This window comes from Homo sapiens, chromosome 9 (assembly GCF_000001405.40).
Source record: "Homo sapiens chromosome 9, GRCh38.p14 Primary Assembly".
Lineage (NCBI taxonomy): Eukaryota > Metazoa > Chordata > Mammalia > Primates > Hominidae > Homo > Homo sapiens.
In genome coordinates this window covers 26,015,663-26,029,393 of record NC_000009.12, presented here as the reverse complement: position 1 = coordinate 26,029,393, position 13,731 = coordinate 26,015,663, and positions in this window count along the sequence as shown.

Genomic DNA, 13,731 nt, shown 5'->3' with positions numbered 1-13,731 from the left:
CCAAAGAAGAGGCTCAGTTTAGTTAACCTGTGCAGCTGCAACCAAAACAGGTGTTTAAGGGGACAATGCCATAAATGCGTGTTCTAAAGCATTATTTACCCCACCCAATAATAAATTGGGCTAAAATAAATGTTCTGAAGTCTGTCCAATCAGAATAATAAATCCTCCTCTTTGAGGAAAGGAGAGATAAGAGATTAAGAAAAAGGAGCATGCCCCATCCCTACAGATGCATAGTTTGCCAAATGTATTGACCACAGAGTCTTTCTTTTTTTTTCAGGAGGATTTAAGGATCAGTTTTTAGTGAAAATACCTTAGAAAATGGTGCATTACTCTGTACCCGTATTCTTAAAACCATTGCCTAGAATAAATAACTCTAAGTGAGTGATAAAATACCATAAAACCTGTCCTTTCTTACAGCATTTTAACATAATACATTTATATTATACATTTAAACTGTGCAATTTCTGAGACCTGGAATATGAAGTGAAATCTATCTAGAGATGTTTTAGATCAGGAAAATTCCCCATCTTTCTGGGAAAGTGTAGCAGAATAACCTTTCCTGTATCTGTGACTTTGATGCTGGGTATGTGGAGGATATATGGAGCTGGAGGTATGGAGGAAAGCTTCAGCATCTGGCCACAACTGTTACCATGAAAACTATTGAAGTTAACTTGAATAGGAAAGGATTCATGTGTTGCCTGGTTTGGGCTAGATTACTTGTCTACGAGTCTCTCTCTCTCTTTTTTTTTTAATTAGCAATTTTAATTGCTTCTGTTTATAGTCTACCAGTTTTTCTAGCTTCTGCAATGTATTTAATGTTCTGAGTGTCCTAATAGGCTAAAGAAAATTTGGCCTCATAAAGCCATCATCCCTTCCTTTGTTACTTATTTGCTGTTTTTACTATTTATAGTAAAGAGGTAACTAGTATTAATTTTCAGACAACTCTTAATTTTCTTAGAGAATTGAAAAAAAAGCTACCATACACACACTAGTTTTTATGTACCAAGAGGCAGGTTCACATTGTGAGTATTTTGTTTGCATGGTTTTCCATTTCTTTGCAGTTCTGGATAACTTCCATCAGCATATTCCTTGAAATTAGCTTGAAGTATTTGTTCTATATTTTATGTTGAAATTGGGCTCCTGTCTTCTGCAGACAAATGACTCGTTAACATATTGTTTTTGAAGCACAGTTTGCATTTCTGTGAACCAGGGATTAGGCATTGTGTGTAGATTAGGAATAATTTATGTCTAATTAATAATTGATGTTTTTCCCTATTCTGACCGAGATTTTGTTATGCATAATATGAGAAGAGCAGAGTACTCTCCAGTGATGACAAGAGAAAACATTTTTCAAGAGCAAATCACACTAAAACTTTGAAATCAGCTGCAGTGGGGCTTTTAACCACTTCACTGCTAAATAATTGAGCCAGAATTTTTTTTCCCACTATTCTTGTCTTCCGAAATGAGGAAATGTGTGAATACAATAATGTTCTGTGTATTGAAAACTCAAAAACTTTGTGACCTCACATATCTAGAGGGCACTGATAAATCGAAAAGGACACCCAAAAGACCTCTAGGCAATAAAAATAGAGGCCATAAAGCTCATACATTAATGCTCACTAATTTTTGTCAGGGGAAGGTCCCTCAGGTGTTCACTTAAAGCAGAATTAATCTACATATAATTTTTAAAATACCTTTTTAAATATCTAAGGTTTATTTTAATAAATTCTAATAATAAAGAAGTATTTACAGTAAAAAGTAATTCTCTCCACTCCCACTCAATTTCCGAGCAGTGATAAATATTAATTATTTCCAGTTTCCTTAAAATTCAGCAAGCCTGACTATTTTATTTCTCAGATTAAAATAGCTAATTTAGAAAAGCTGAGAAAGGCATGTGGAGGGAGTTAGAAGCCTTAAGAGTCTATCTGTATGTTGAGAAACAAAAATAAAAAGAAACAAAGAATGAACACACACACACACACACACACACACACACACACACAAAAGTCACAAATACTCCAAAATCCTGACAATACAGGACATTTAGTTTACACCAGGTTTCAAACAGTGCTTTTAAATGAAGTATTGCAAGAATGTGTTCAAGTAAGGGAAAAGTAATCTGGCAGCGTTTCTCACAATGTGAGGATTAGAGCTAGAGTTACATGAAATACTGTATGTTTGGCACAAAGCTAGCACTGAAAAAGGCTCTCATTAGTGTTATCTACCCTCAGTTTTTCTTCCTTGGTTTTAATACCTTAACCAAGGTTACTGATACTTTCATATCAGTAACCCATATTCATAATGAAGCCAAAATATTCTCATCCCAAAATGTTAACTTGCAATATGAAAATACATAAACATTTACCACCATCTCATGTATATGCTCCTTTCTCAGTTCTTCACATGCTCTATACTTTGTCCTTAGACCTCATAATACATCCCTTTCAATCCATCACCTGTCTGCTGGTTTCCCCAGTTTCTGCCACTTAGGCTTGACTCCACTGTGTATCATTTTAGTCATTTTCTTCCCATTGACTAAGAGGACCTTGACATTCCCCTCATTTTGACTACATTTTAGAGAGGTTTCTTCTTGACTCTAGGCCTCCGAGCTCCCTATTCTTCAGGAATTTACATTAAAAAATTGTAATTTGTAATTTAAAATTCTTTCTGTGCCCCTTTGAGATGTAAATTTTTTGAAATGCTTCTTGCCAGTTTTGCAGCCCAGGTGTAGAATTTCTCAAGGACCTGGGCATCATTCTTTTGAAATGTAATCATCAAGGAAGATAGCACCCTTACCTGCCAGTCTCTGTGGGAGAGAAGGAGGCTAATTTTAGTGGGCACCTTGCTCCAAGTTGTAGATCTATCTTTTGTTATGAGGATAAAGAAAGTTTACTTTTCCTTTTGGTACACCCAATTAGCAAATACAGTTAGCCCAAGATCTCCCCTGTCTCAGTGGAGTTAAGTTCACGCTGAGCTCTGGTCCTTCTCCTTTATTGCAAATGCCTTGTATAATGTCTCTACTACCTGTTCAACTTTGGTGTATTTTTGCTTCAATGCACTCAATGTATTGGTCCACCTTACCTTCTGCTTTTCCAACTCCAAATCTCATATCGAATCAATATTAACATTTTCTACTATTAATTACATCACAACCGCTCTGTATGACTATAGGAAATCAGATAATGATGTGAATTATTGTTAGTGCAAATAGTGAACTCACTTCTCTCATTTGCATGGAATTTCACCACTCTCCTTAACCCAATTAGGTGTCAGCTGTGCTAATCCTAGATACTTCCACTGGAGGGGTGGCAGAACTTTATGAATTTTGTAACTTATATTTTAAATCAATTTCATTTGTTTCTTCCTTTATATTGTTGTCATATGATTTCAAAAAATGACTATAATATTCCTCTATTAAGACTTTTAAATGATTCTCATTGCCTTTAGAGTAATTCTAATTTAGAGAAAACATTCTATCATTCACCCTTGCCTATATATCACAAGCTTTACCTTTCATCATGCCCTACAGTGTAGTCTGTGCTATAGCCATAGTGAATTGGTTTATAACATATTCATGTCTCAGAGTATTTTATATTTCCCATCTTTTACTGACACAGTTCCATTTCCTCATGCATATACTCATTCCTTCAGCTGCCTTTATTAAGCATGCATTGTAGGCCTGTCCACCAACTTTCCTTCTTACATCTACTTGTGCCTGATAACACTGTCTCCTTTTCAAGATTCAGCTTAGTGCCTATTTAATAAAGCATTTTTAACTCTTCCTAGGGGGTAAAGTTAGCCTCCTCTTCTATTTTTTCCCGACTCTGTTACATTCCTCTATCATGGAACATGTAACACTTTTGGAACTTGTTTGTATATTTCATGACTAAAGAACCAGAACCTATTTTTGATAGGTAGAGGAACAAAAATGCCCATTTTGGCTGAATTTGAATGATTTTTCTCTTTTGAATTAAATCCACTAATTTATTTGTCTCTACCTATTGCTTTAGTACCGCATACACAACATCTCTGACATATAATACTCTTGTAGGCTTTGTTTCAATGCTTGGTTAGTGACCTTATTGACTGGTCTGTCCCTTAAACAAAAACATGATACATACACCTCAGAAGACAGTCTGTTGAAAAAAATGTCCTCAAACCTGTTTAGTTTTTGAAAAAAATTACACTTTACAAAAATAATTACAGAAACATCTTGTCTAACAATAGCTCTCAGTGCATGAATCATTCTGAATAAACGAGTTTTATCAGTAGCTAAATATTTTAAATACTCTGACTATAAACTATTATTTTATTTTATCTTATTTTATTTTATTCCATTTGTTTTTTATGTCTTGAGATGGGGTCCTGCTATGTTGCCCAGGCTGGTCTTGAACTCCTAGGCTCAAGTAATCTGCCTGCCTCAGCATCCCAGTGTGCTGGAATTACAGGCATGAGACACTGTGCCAGCCTAAAAACATTCTGGTCAAAGAAAATATTTTTGATATTTATTATATGTGCCATTGATTTTTAATTAGAATATATGAAATAGAATTTTCTGCCTTTTAATATCTTGTTTCTCATATCGGATCATCAGTTGAACAGCCTGTGATATAAACCTAGGGTGCTCTCAGGAGCAGCTCAGTATGTCACAACTGTGAGCCCACTGGCTGGTGTCTGCATTTCTCTTACAGACCTTCTCTATTATATATTGCTTTTTGGAAGTCTGAAAATCATACACTTTAACTTGTGAAAGTTTTGTGTAAAACAATAGCAAGAATATACTAAGTCTAGGCCTGAGGGGCCTGTTTTCAAAAAGACATAACACTTTTACCAATAGAATCTGCGATGATGTGTTTGCCTGGTCAAAGTTAAAACTGAAAATTTATTTCAAGGAAATAAGGAAACAAGGAAAAACCTTATCTTATTAGTTTAGATTCCAGATGGTTTTGTTTCCTGGCAGTTGAGCACTAGATAGACAAATTTTATTGATGGGCTCTGATATTTAGATATTAACAACAAAATTTTTTTTTATTATACAGATGTTTCATTACAGCTAATTAAGGTTAGAAACCCTTTTAAGGCATTTTGAATCAAACCAGGTACACTGTATATTTATATTAGAGAATAGTTATTATGCATGCAATTGGGATGATCATAAAGGAATATTTTTTTTAAAAAAAAACTCTTGCACTTAATCACCCCTTACCTTGTTAATTAAATGAAATTAAAAGCTGAACATCAGTTTCCTTATTGCACATAGGTCTTGTCAAACTTGACTGTGGCTAATTTGATATCTTAAAAAAATGCAGTTTTGTCTCAATAAAACTATGTTAGCTTGCAATGTTGGATATTCTACACAACCACAACTTCTTATTGACTGTAATATATTCAACATATCTAGTTTGGTGGAAACGATGGTGTAGTGAGTAGGGTGGTAAACTTCATCTATTCCCAAATGTAAAACAAGCATAAAAAAGAATTGTTTGTTTTCTGACACTTCATGAATTAGTTGTGTAAAACGGTAAGAAGGAAATCCAACAACCAGCATTCTTTTTTAGGGATGCAGTTACTTAATGAGATTGTTTTCTGAGAACATATATTTGGGTAAGGTGAGAGTGATATGGAAGTTGGGGCTTGGAGATATTCTGTAGAAGCTTCTATAGATAGGTTCTGTGCATGTCATGAACACATCTAAATTAGAGGAGTGCACTTGAAAAAAAAGAATCTTCCTACGTGAAGAACTTAATTGACAAGAGTCCCTAGAGATAAGCAAACTTTTGACTTGCTATTGCTGAAGGAAATAGAGTATTTGAATTTAAAAATTAAGTATGAATTCATAGGAGGATGGGATCAAAATGGTAGTGAGAACCACTAATCTCTGTCTTCTTTCTAATCCAAACACTAGAAATGACAGATGATATTGGTATGATCACACACACAAACACACACACACACCCACACACCCTCATAAGAATGAAGATATAGCTATAAATACCATGATTGGAAAACAGTTATACTATTAATGGAACTTCTCTTAAGAAACCTCATACTCAAACAAATTTACAAGAAAAAAAAACAGCCCCATCAAAAAGTGAGCAAAGGATATGAACAGACACTGCTCAAAAGAAGACATTTATGCAGCCAACAAACATGAAAAAATGCTCATCATCACTGGTCATTAGAGAAATGCAAATTAAAACCACAATAAGATACTATCTCACACCAGCTAGAATGACGATCATTAAAAAGTCACGTAACAACAGATGCTGGAGAGGATGTGGAAAATTGGAACGCTTTTACACTGTTGGTGGGAGTGTAAATTAGTTCAACCATTGTGGAAGACAGTGTGGCGATTCCTCAAGGATCTATACTAGAAATACCATTTGACCCAGCCATCCCATTACTGGGTATACACCAAAAGGATTGTAAATCATGCTGCTATAAAGACACATGCACACGTATGTTTGTTGCAGTACTATTCACAATAGCAAAGACTTGGAACCAACCCAAATGTCCATCAATGATAGACTGCATAAAGAAAATGTGGCACATATACACCATGGAATACTATGCAGCCATAAAAAAAGATGAGTTCATGTCCTTTGCAGGGACATGGATGAAGCTGTAAACCATCATTCTCAGCAAACAATCACAAGAACACAAGACCAAACACCGCACATTCTCACTCATAAGTGGGAGTTGAATAATGAGAATACATGGACACGGAGGGGAACATCACACACTGCGGCCTGTTTGGGGGTGGGGAGCTAGGGAAGGGATAGCATTAGGAGAAATACCTAATGTAGATGACGGGTTGATGGGTGCAGCAAACCACCATGGCACGTGTATACCTATGTAACAAACCTGCACGTGCTGCACATGTACCCCATAACTTAAAGTATAAAAACCAAAAAGAAACATCATACTCATAAGCTGTCACTCTCCATTTTCCCCCATTCCCTGCACCACCTCCAGACTTAAGCAATCACTAATCTACTTTCTGTCTCCAGTTAGCCTACTCTGAACATTTCACATAATCTCTAAACTATTTTTGCAACCCTTTTGGAAGTTTAAAATTGTCTCAAAAAGCTGTATTTACTTTTCTGTTCTTTTTGGAAATATATTTTTGTGAATAATTCGTTCTTGTGTTTAACAAAATATTTAAAATGTTACATAACTAATGTAAAAACAGAATAGTTTGCATGTGATATTTTTTGACTCAGGAGCCAGCATCTTCAATATCATACTGTATTGTCACACAATGCACAAGTCTTAACTTATTTCTTTCTACATCTGCTCCTGTGTATAAGAGAGTTTATGGCCTATATTAGGTATTTAGTAGATTTTTGTTGAATGAATACCAACATATATGTATATATAGATAAATGAATATGTGAATGAATCATTTCACATTATATAGGCATAAAATTGGTTTAAGTAGGCTTTCAAAATCAGTTCATTTTATGAATTTTTAAAAATAATTTCAGCATCATTCATTCTTTATTTACAATCAGAACATTTTAAATTTTAATGCTGGCTCTGCTCTTTTTAACTTTTTTGATCAAATGATCTAATCTTATAGGTAAGCCTCACTTAATTTACCTAAAAGTAACAATGATAATATATTCCTACACCAACTCATGTCATTGTTGTACAGATCTTGTGAAATGATGTACTTTCTAAAGACTCGTATAGAAAATTATTATAATATATGAAGAGCTGTAACTTGGGAGATATATTTTCATATGATGATATGAACTATTTTCTAACATCGTTAATGCATTCCTATGTGAATCTGCTCAGAGTATACAACAGTAATAAATAGTTAAGTTTCCTTGAGTAATATAAAACCATTGTCAGACTTATCTGGCTGGTCCAGATGGATGTTAAAGAAGATTCTTTCCATAGAAGAGTTTTCATTTACACATGTGAGTTCCCATTGATGTCAAAGCAAATATCAACCAAGAAAAGAAGCTCTTAAAACTAACTTCTCAGATGTCTAGCACAGGGACTCACAAGAAAGAAGGATAAAATAAAATATAAAAATAAGTCTCACAGTGCCTTAGAAACAAGTAGACTTAAGTAAAAAACATTTTAGGAAAAATGGTCTCTGCCATAAATCAGAATTAAAGGTATAAGGAAAGTTAAATTCAACAACAAAGACAAATCAATTTAACTCCAACTGCTATCTAAAACATACATGAGGAGTAGAATATGAAGCTCTTGCTTAGTTTCAATCACACAACAAAGCAAGGCTTATTAAGGCTTCCCAGAAAGTGTCAGGGTTATTATGGCTTCTCAGAAAGCAATGGCAAGGCAGACTTCAAAGAAGATGGCCTAGGTCGCCAAGCAACTATCCATATAAAAATGGCATAACAATGAAAAGACCAAAAATTATTATGGGCCTAACATAGTCTCAGTGTATCCTGAATGAGAACCTGGATTAGGCAAAAATAAGGAAGAATAAAAGGAAGTAATATTTTTAGTATTGTATAAAGTTATTATATAATGTTTTAAAGCCATATGTTCAAACTTGAAAACTTTTCAGGCACTTCAAATCGGTTGTTTTCCTCATTGAGTAAGTCATTTTTGGCCATAAATCATGTATTTACAAATTCACATTATTTTGCTGAAAAGAGGGAGGGGGACTTTGGATTTTATTTAATTGAATGTATCACAGAATTCTGAGCTCCTGTGAAAACAAAACGATTAAGCTATTAAGCATCAAGAGATACAGATAAAGAGAAATAAATTTCTACTAGTGATGATTTCAAAATATCTGTATAGAAGTGGCTTGGATGAAGCAGCCTCTAGTTGGGAATATTTGTTTAGGGAGGAATTTAGGGACCTTGTCTTGAAACCCTATTTGCATAGTAATCACAATGTCTTTATTTAAATTGGATGCCTATTTTGTGGTGAGTTTTGGCAACTGATTTAGACATAGAGGCCTTCAACTCTCATTACCACCAAGACAATTATTGCTGTTTTCAATACAAAATATTTAGAAGAAATAGCAACAGAAAATAATAACTGTAAAAGGCAGTGTAGAAGGGAGTAGTAGATAATTGAATATAAATGTTCTGAACAAAAAAGGAATTGAGAGATAAGAGATATCTGGGTTAGGGCAATCTGGCAGGCTTAATAAAGGAGGTAGGTAGAACTTCAATTAGGTGTTGAAACATAGGTTGTTTTGGAAGAAGACAGAAGAGGAAGGGCTTCTTGGGCACCAGCATTTGGAGAAGTACTTTTTTGAGAGAAGAAAGTCCCCCCAGACTGCCAGGTAATGAAAAATGTACCATCTATCCAGATATAAGTTTATACTCAAGTCTTTCAATTCCAGAGATATGCATCCATGGTGCTTAGATGTTGCTCTAATTCCAATCAGGATGGATCTTATGGGTGGAATCTCTTTAACAGTTTAAAAATGTGTGTGTGTGTGTGTGTGTGTGTGTGTGTGTGTGCATGCATGTATGTGTGTTTGATTGTATTCCTAGCATGCATAGTTGATGGAGCAATGATGCCTTTTATTTCACATGTCAGATATAGTCCAGTAGATTTCTAGTGACTTAGTGGAGAATTATCTGAGACACAGCTTAGTTCAGCAAGGGATATGTGCCTGGATATGTCATTAATTTTTTCCCTGAGGACAGGTAAAGACAGTGGACAACTATCCTATATATCCCCGAATCTAGGTGTAACACAGTGAAACTGGCACTTTAACATGAGGTATTGGATTGAAAGTGCTACCTTCATCACTATCACTTGTGTGACTCTGGGTAAGCTATTCATTTATATTCCACCAAAGATTCTGCATCAGTGAAATCACGTTACTATTTACATTATAGAAATTTTGTAAAACTTAGGCCCCAAGTATTGAGCCTTGACTAACACCTAAAATACAGCAGCAATATATTTTGCATATGTATATATACTTTCTTCCTAATTTTTACTCAAATACTTTACATATGCTGTTAAGGAAAACATTAAACTCTCTGTTCTAAGATGTGGCATATGTAAACTACAGTGAATTCTAATCAAATAAGCACTATGAGAAATAGCTACCATTGTGTCCCACAAAATATTCTGTTACATTTATCAGAGATAAGTTACTGGGAAGGTATACCATTCATCCAATCTAGCATAATTTTTTTATGATCTTTAGAGACATACAGATCAATTTCAGGGCTGGTCAGTTTACCATAAGTCTAATATAATATTGCAGAAACATCCCAACACGTTTTCATTTGGACATATTCCACATTTTATGCTTTTTATCCACCTTAGAGTTCTAAAATTCATTAAATATTATCATTTTTCTCAGTCTTCTGAAGAGCTATTTAAGTTTTATATAAGTTAAGATGTCAATCGAGTCAAAGCTCTGTTCTTCTCGTGTTAAATGATTGGCCTTGATCAACACACTTCATACACATGAGTTTGACTTTCCTGCCTGAATATGGTATTCATATTTGCCCACCAAAGCATTAAACTGGTAAAAGATTAATAGCCTAAGATACCTTTAGAATATGCTGAGCTGCTCCTTTGTCACTGATGTTACCTTCTTTGGGGGTTGATATGGTTAGTCTGTGTCCCACCCAAATCTCTTCTTGAATTCCCATATATTGTGGGTGGGAGAGACCCAGTGGGAGATAATTGATTCATGGGGGCAGGTCTTTCTCATGCTGTTCTTGTGATAGTGAATAAGTCTCATGAGATCTGATGGTTTTTAAAAAGGGATTTCCCTGCACAAGCTCTATTCTCTTGACTGCCACCATGTGAGATGTGCCTTTCACCTTCCGCCATGATTGTGAGGCCTCCCCAGCCACGTGGAACTGTAAGTCCAATAAGCCTCTTTCTTTTGAAAATTGCCCAGTCTCGGGTATGTGTTTATCAGCAACATGAAAACAAACTAATACAGTAAATTGGTACCAGTAGAGTGGGGCATTGCTGTAGAAACCTGAAAATGTGGAAGTGACTTTAGAACTGGGTAATAGGCAGTTGTTGGAACAGTTTGCAGAGCACAGAAGAAGACAGGAAAATGTGGGAAAGTCTGGAACTTCCTAGAGACTTGTTGAATGCCTTTGACTAAAATGCTGATAATGATATGGGCAATGAAATCCAGGCAAAGGTGGTCTCAATGGAGATGAGGAACGTATTGGGAACTGGAGCAAAGGTGACTCTTGTTATGTTTTAGCAAGTAGACTGGTGGCATTTTGCTCCTGCCTTAGAGATTTGAGGAACTTTGAACTTGAGAGAGATGATTTAAGGTATCTGGTGGAAGAAATTTTGAAGGAGCAAAGTATTCAAGAAGTGACATGGGTGCTGTTGAAGGCATTTGGTTTTATAAGGAAGCAGAGCATGAAAGTTTGGAAAATCTGTAGCCTGACAATGTGATAGAAAAGAAAATTGCATTTTCTGAGGAGAAATACAAGTTAGCTGCAGAAATTTCCATAAGTAACAAGGAGCTGAATGTTAACCACATTCAAGACAATGGAGAGAATGTCTCCAGAGCACATAAGATGCCTTAACGGCAGCCCCTTCCATCGCAGGACCAGGGGCTGAGGAGGAAAAAGTGGTTTCATGGGCCAGGCCCAGAGCCCCCTTACTGTGTGTAGCCTAGGGAATTGGTACCCAGTGTCCTAGCTGGGTAGGGGCCAACATAGAGCTCAGGCTGTGGCTTCAAGTCCCAAGTCTTGGCAGCTTCCATGTGCAGTTGAGCCTGCAAGTACACAAAAGTCAAGAGTTGAGATTTGGGAACCTCTGCTTAGATTTCAGAAGATGTATAGACATGCCTGGATGCCCAGGCAGAAGTTTGCTGCAGGGGTGGGGCTCTCATGGAGAACATCTGCTAGGGCACTGCAAAAGGGAAATGTAGAGTCAGAGCCCCACACAGAGTCCCTACTGGGGTACTGCCTAGTGGAGCTGTGAGAGGAGGGCCACCATCCTCCAGACCCCAGAATGGTAGATCTACTGACAGCTTGCACTACGCACCTGGAAAAGCCACAGACACTCAATGCCAGCCCATGAAAACAGTCAGGAGGGAGGCTGTACTGTGTAAAGCCACGGGGCAGAGGTGCCCAAGACAGTGGGAACCCACTGCTTGCATCAGTGTGACCTGGATGCAAGACATGGAGTCAAAGGAGATCATTTTGGAGTTTTAAGATTTGACTGCCCTGCAGGATTGTGGACTTGTGTTGGGCCTGTAGCCCCTTTGTTTTGGCCAATTTCTCCCATTTAGAATGGCTGTATTTACCCAATGCCTGTATCCTCATTGTATCTTGGAAGTAACTAATTTGCTTTTGATTTTACAAGCTCATAGGCTGAAGGGACTTGCCTTGTCTCAGATGAGACTTTCGACTGTAGACTTTTGGATTAATGCTGAAATGAATTAAGACTTTGGGGGACTGTTGGAAAGGCATGATTGGTTTTGAAATGTGAGGACATGAGATTTGGGAGGGGCTGAGATGCAATGATGTGGTTTGGCTGTGTCCCCACCCAAATCTCATCTTGAATTTCCACATGTTGTGCGAGGGACCCAGTGGGAAGTAATTGAATCATGGGGGCAGGTATCTTCTGTGCTGTTCTTGTGATAGTGAATACATCTCATGAGATCTGAAAGTTTTAAAGAGGGGAGTTTCCCTGCACAAATTCTCTTCTTTGGTCTGCCACTATGTGAGACATGCCTTTCACCTTCTGTCATGATTGTGAGGCCTCCCAGCCATGTGGAACTGTAAGTCCAATAAACCTCTTTCTTTTGTAAATTGCCCAGTCTCAGGTATGTGTTTATCAGCAGTGTGAAAACAGACTAATACAGGGGTCTTACAATTTCATTTTACTAGATTGATTGCAATGCTTATTATTAACACCCAGTTAATTAAAATGTTTTTTAAAAATAAACAAATATCTAAAACAAAATTCTGAAATGTCTGCAATACTGTCGAGCTAATATAAATAAAACTAAGCAAACCAATTTGTTTTCATTTTTCTTTTTTCTTTAAATACACTACAAATATATCATTGTTTTTGGTCTTATGAAACTTGGAATTCTAACAATAGTATGATAAGCTATCTAATATTAGATAGTGAGTTTTGAATGTTCCTTAATTTTACCCGTATTCTCTGGAGAAGCTAAGTGACCTCCTGGTAATTATGACTTAAATAGTTTAAAGCCTAAATCAGACAAGATATAATGAAGAAAGCCAGAGGAAGGGAGAAATATATGGATTGGCTCAACTATGAAAAACATCCTAATTCTTGTGTAAGATGGGACATGGATCATACTTCTAGCTTGCATGACTTCTATTATATGAAAAAAGAGGGAGAATATTTCTTCTGGTGGCTGAAGTGACTGTTTTTGGAAGAAAAGCAATAGGAGGCAATTTGGTAGATACAAGTTTGTGATCCAGTAGAAATTAGAAACTTTGTTTTTGGTAAAATTAAATGGTATTATTTTTTATCATCTGTGAATCAAAATAAGATATGATGATTGTTGTGAAGTCAGCCTTTTTTGAGAGCCCTATAGATGCCACAAGGGCAGACAGTAGAATATGCAAGACTTTAAGAGTTGAAGCCTAATCATCTGGAAGTCTTATGACTTGTGATAAATTCAAATGGAAAGCACCTGAACAGTGTCATCTACTATGAGAAAATGCAGGATATTCAGTGAAGATATATTTAATGTACAAACCATTGAATTTCCAGCCTATTATACTTCTTAATATAGCCTGATGTCAA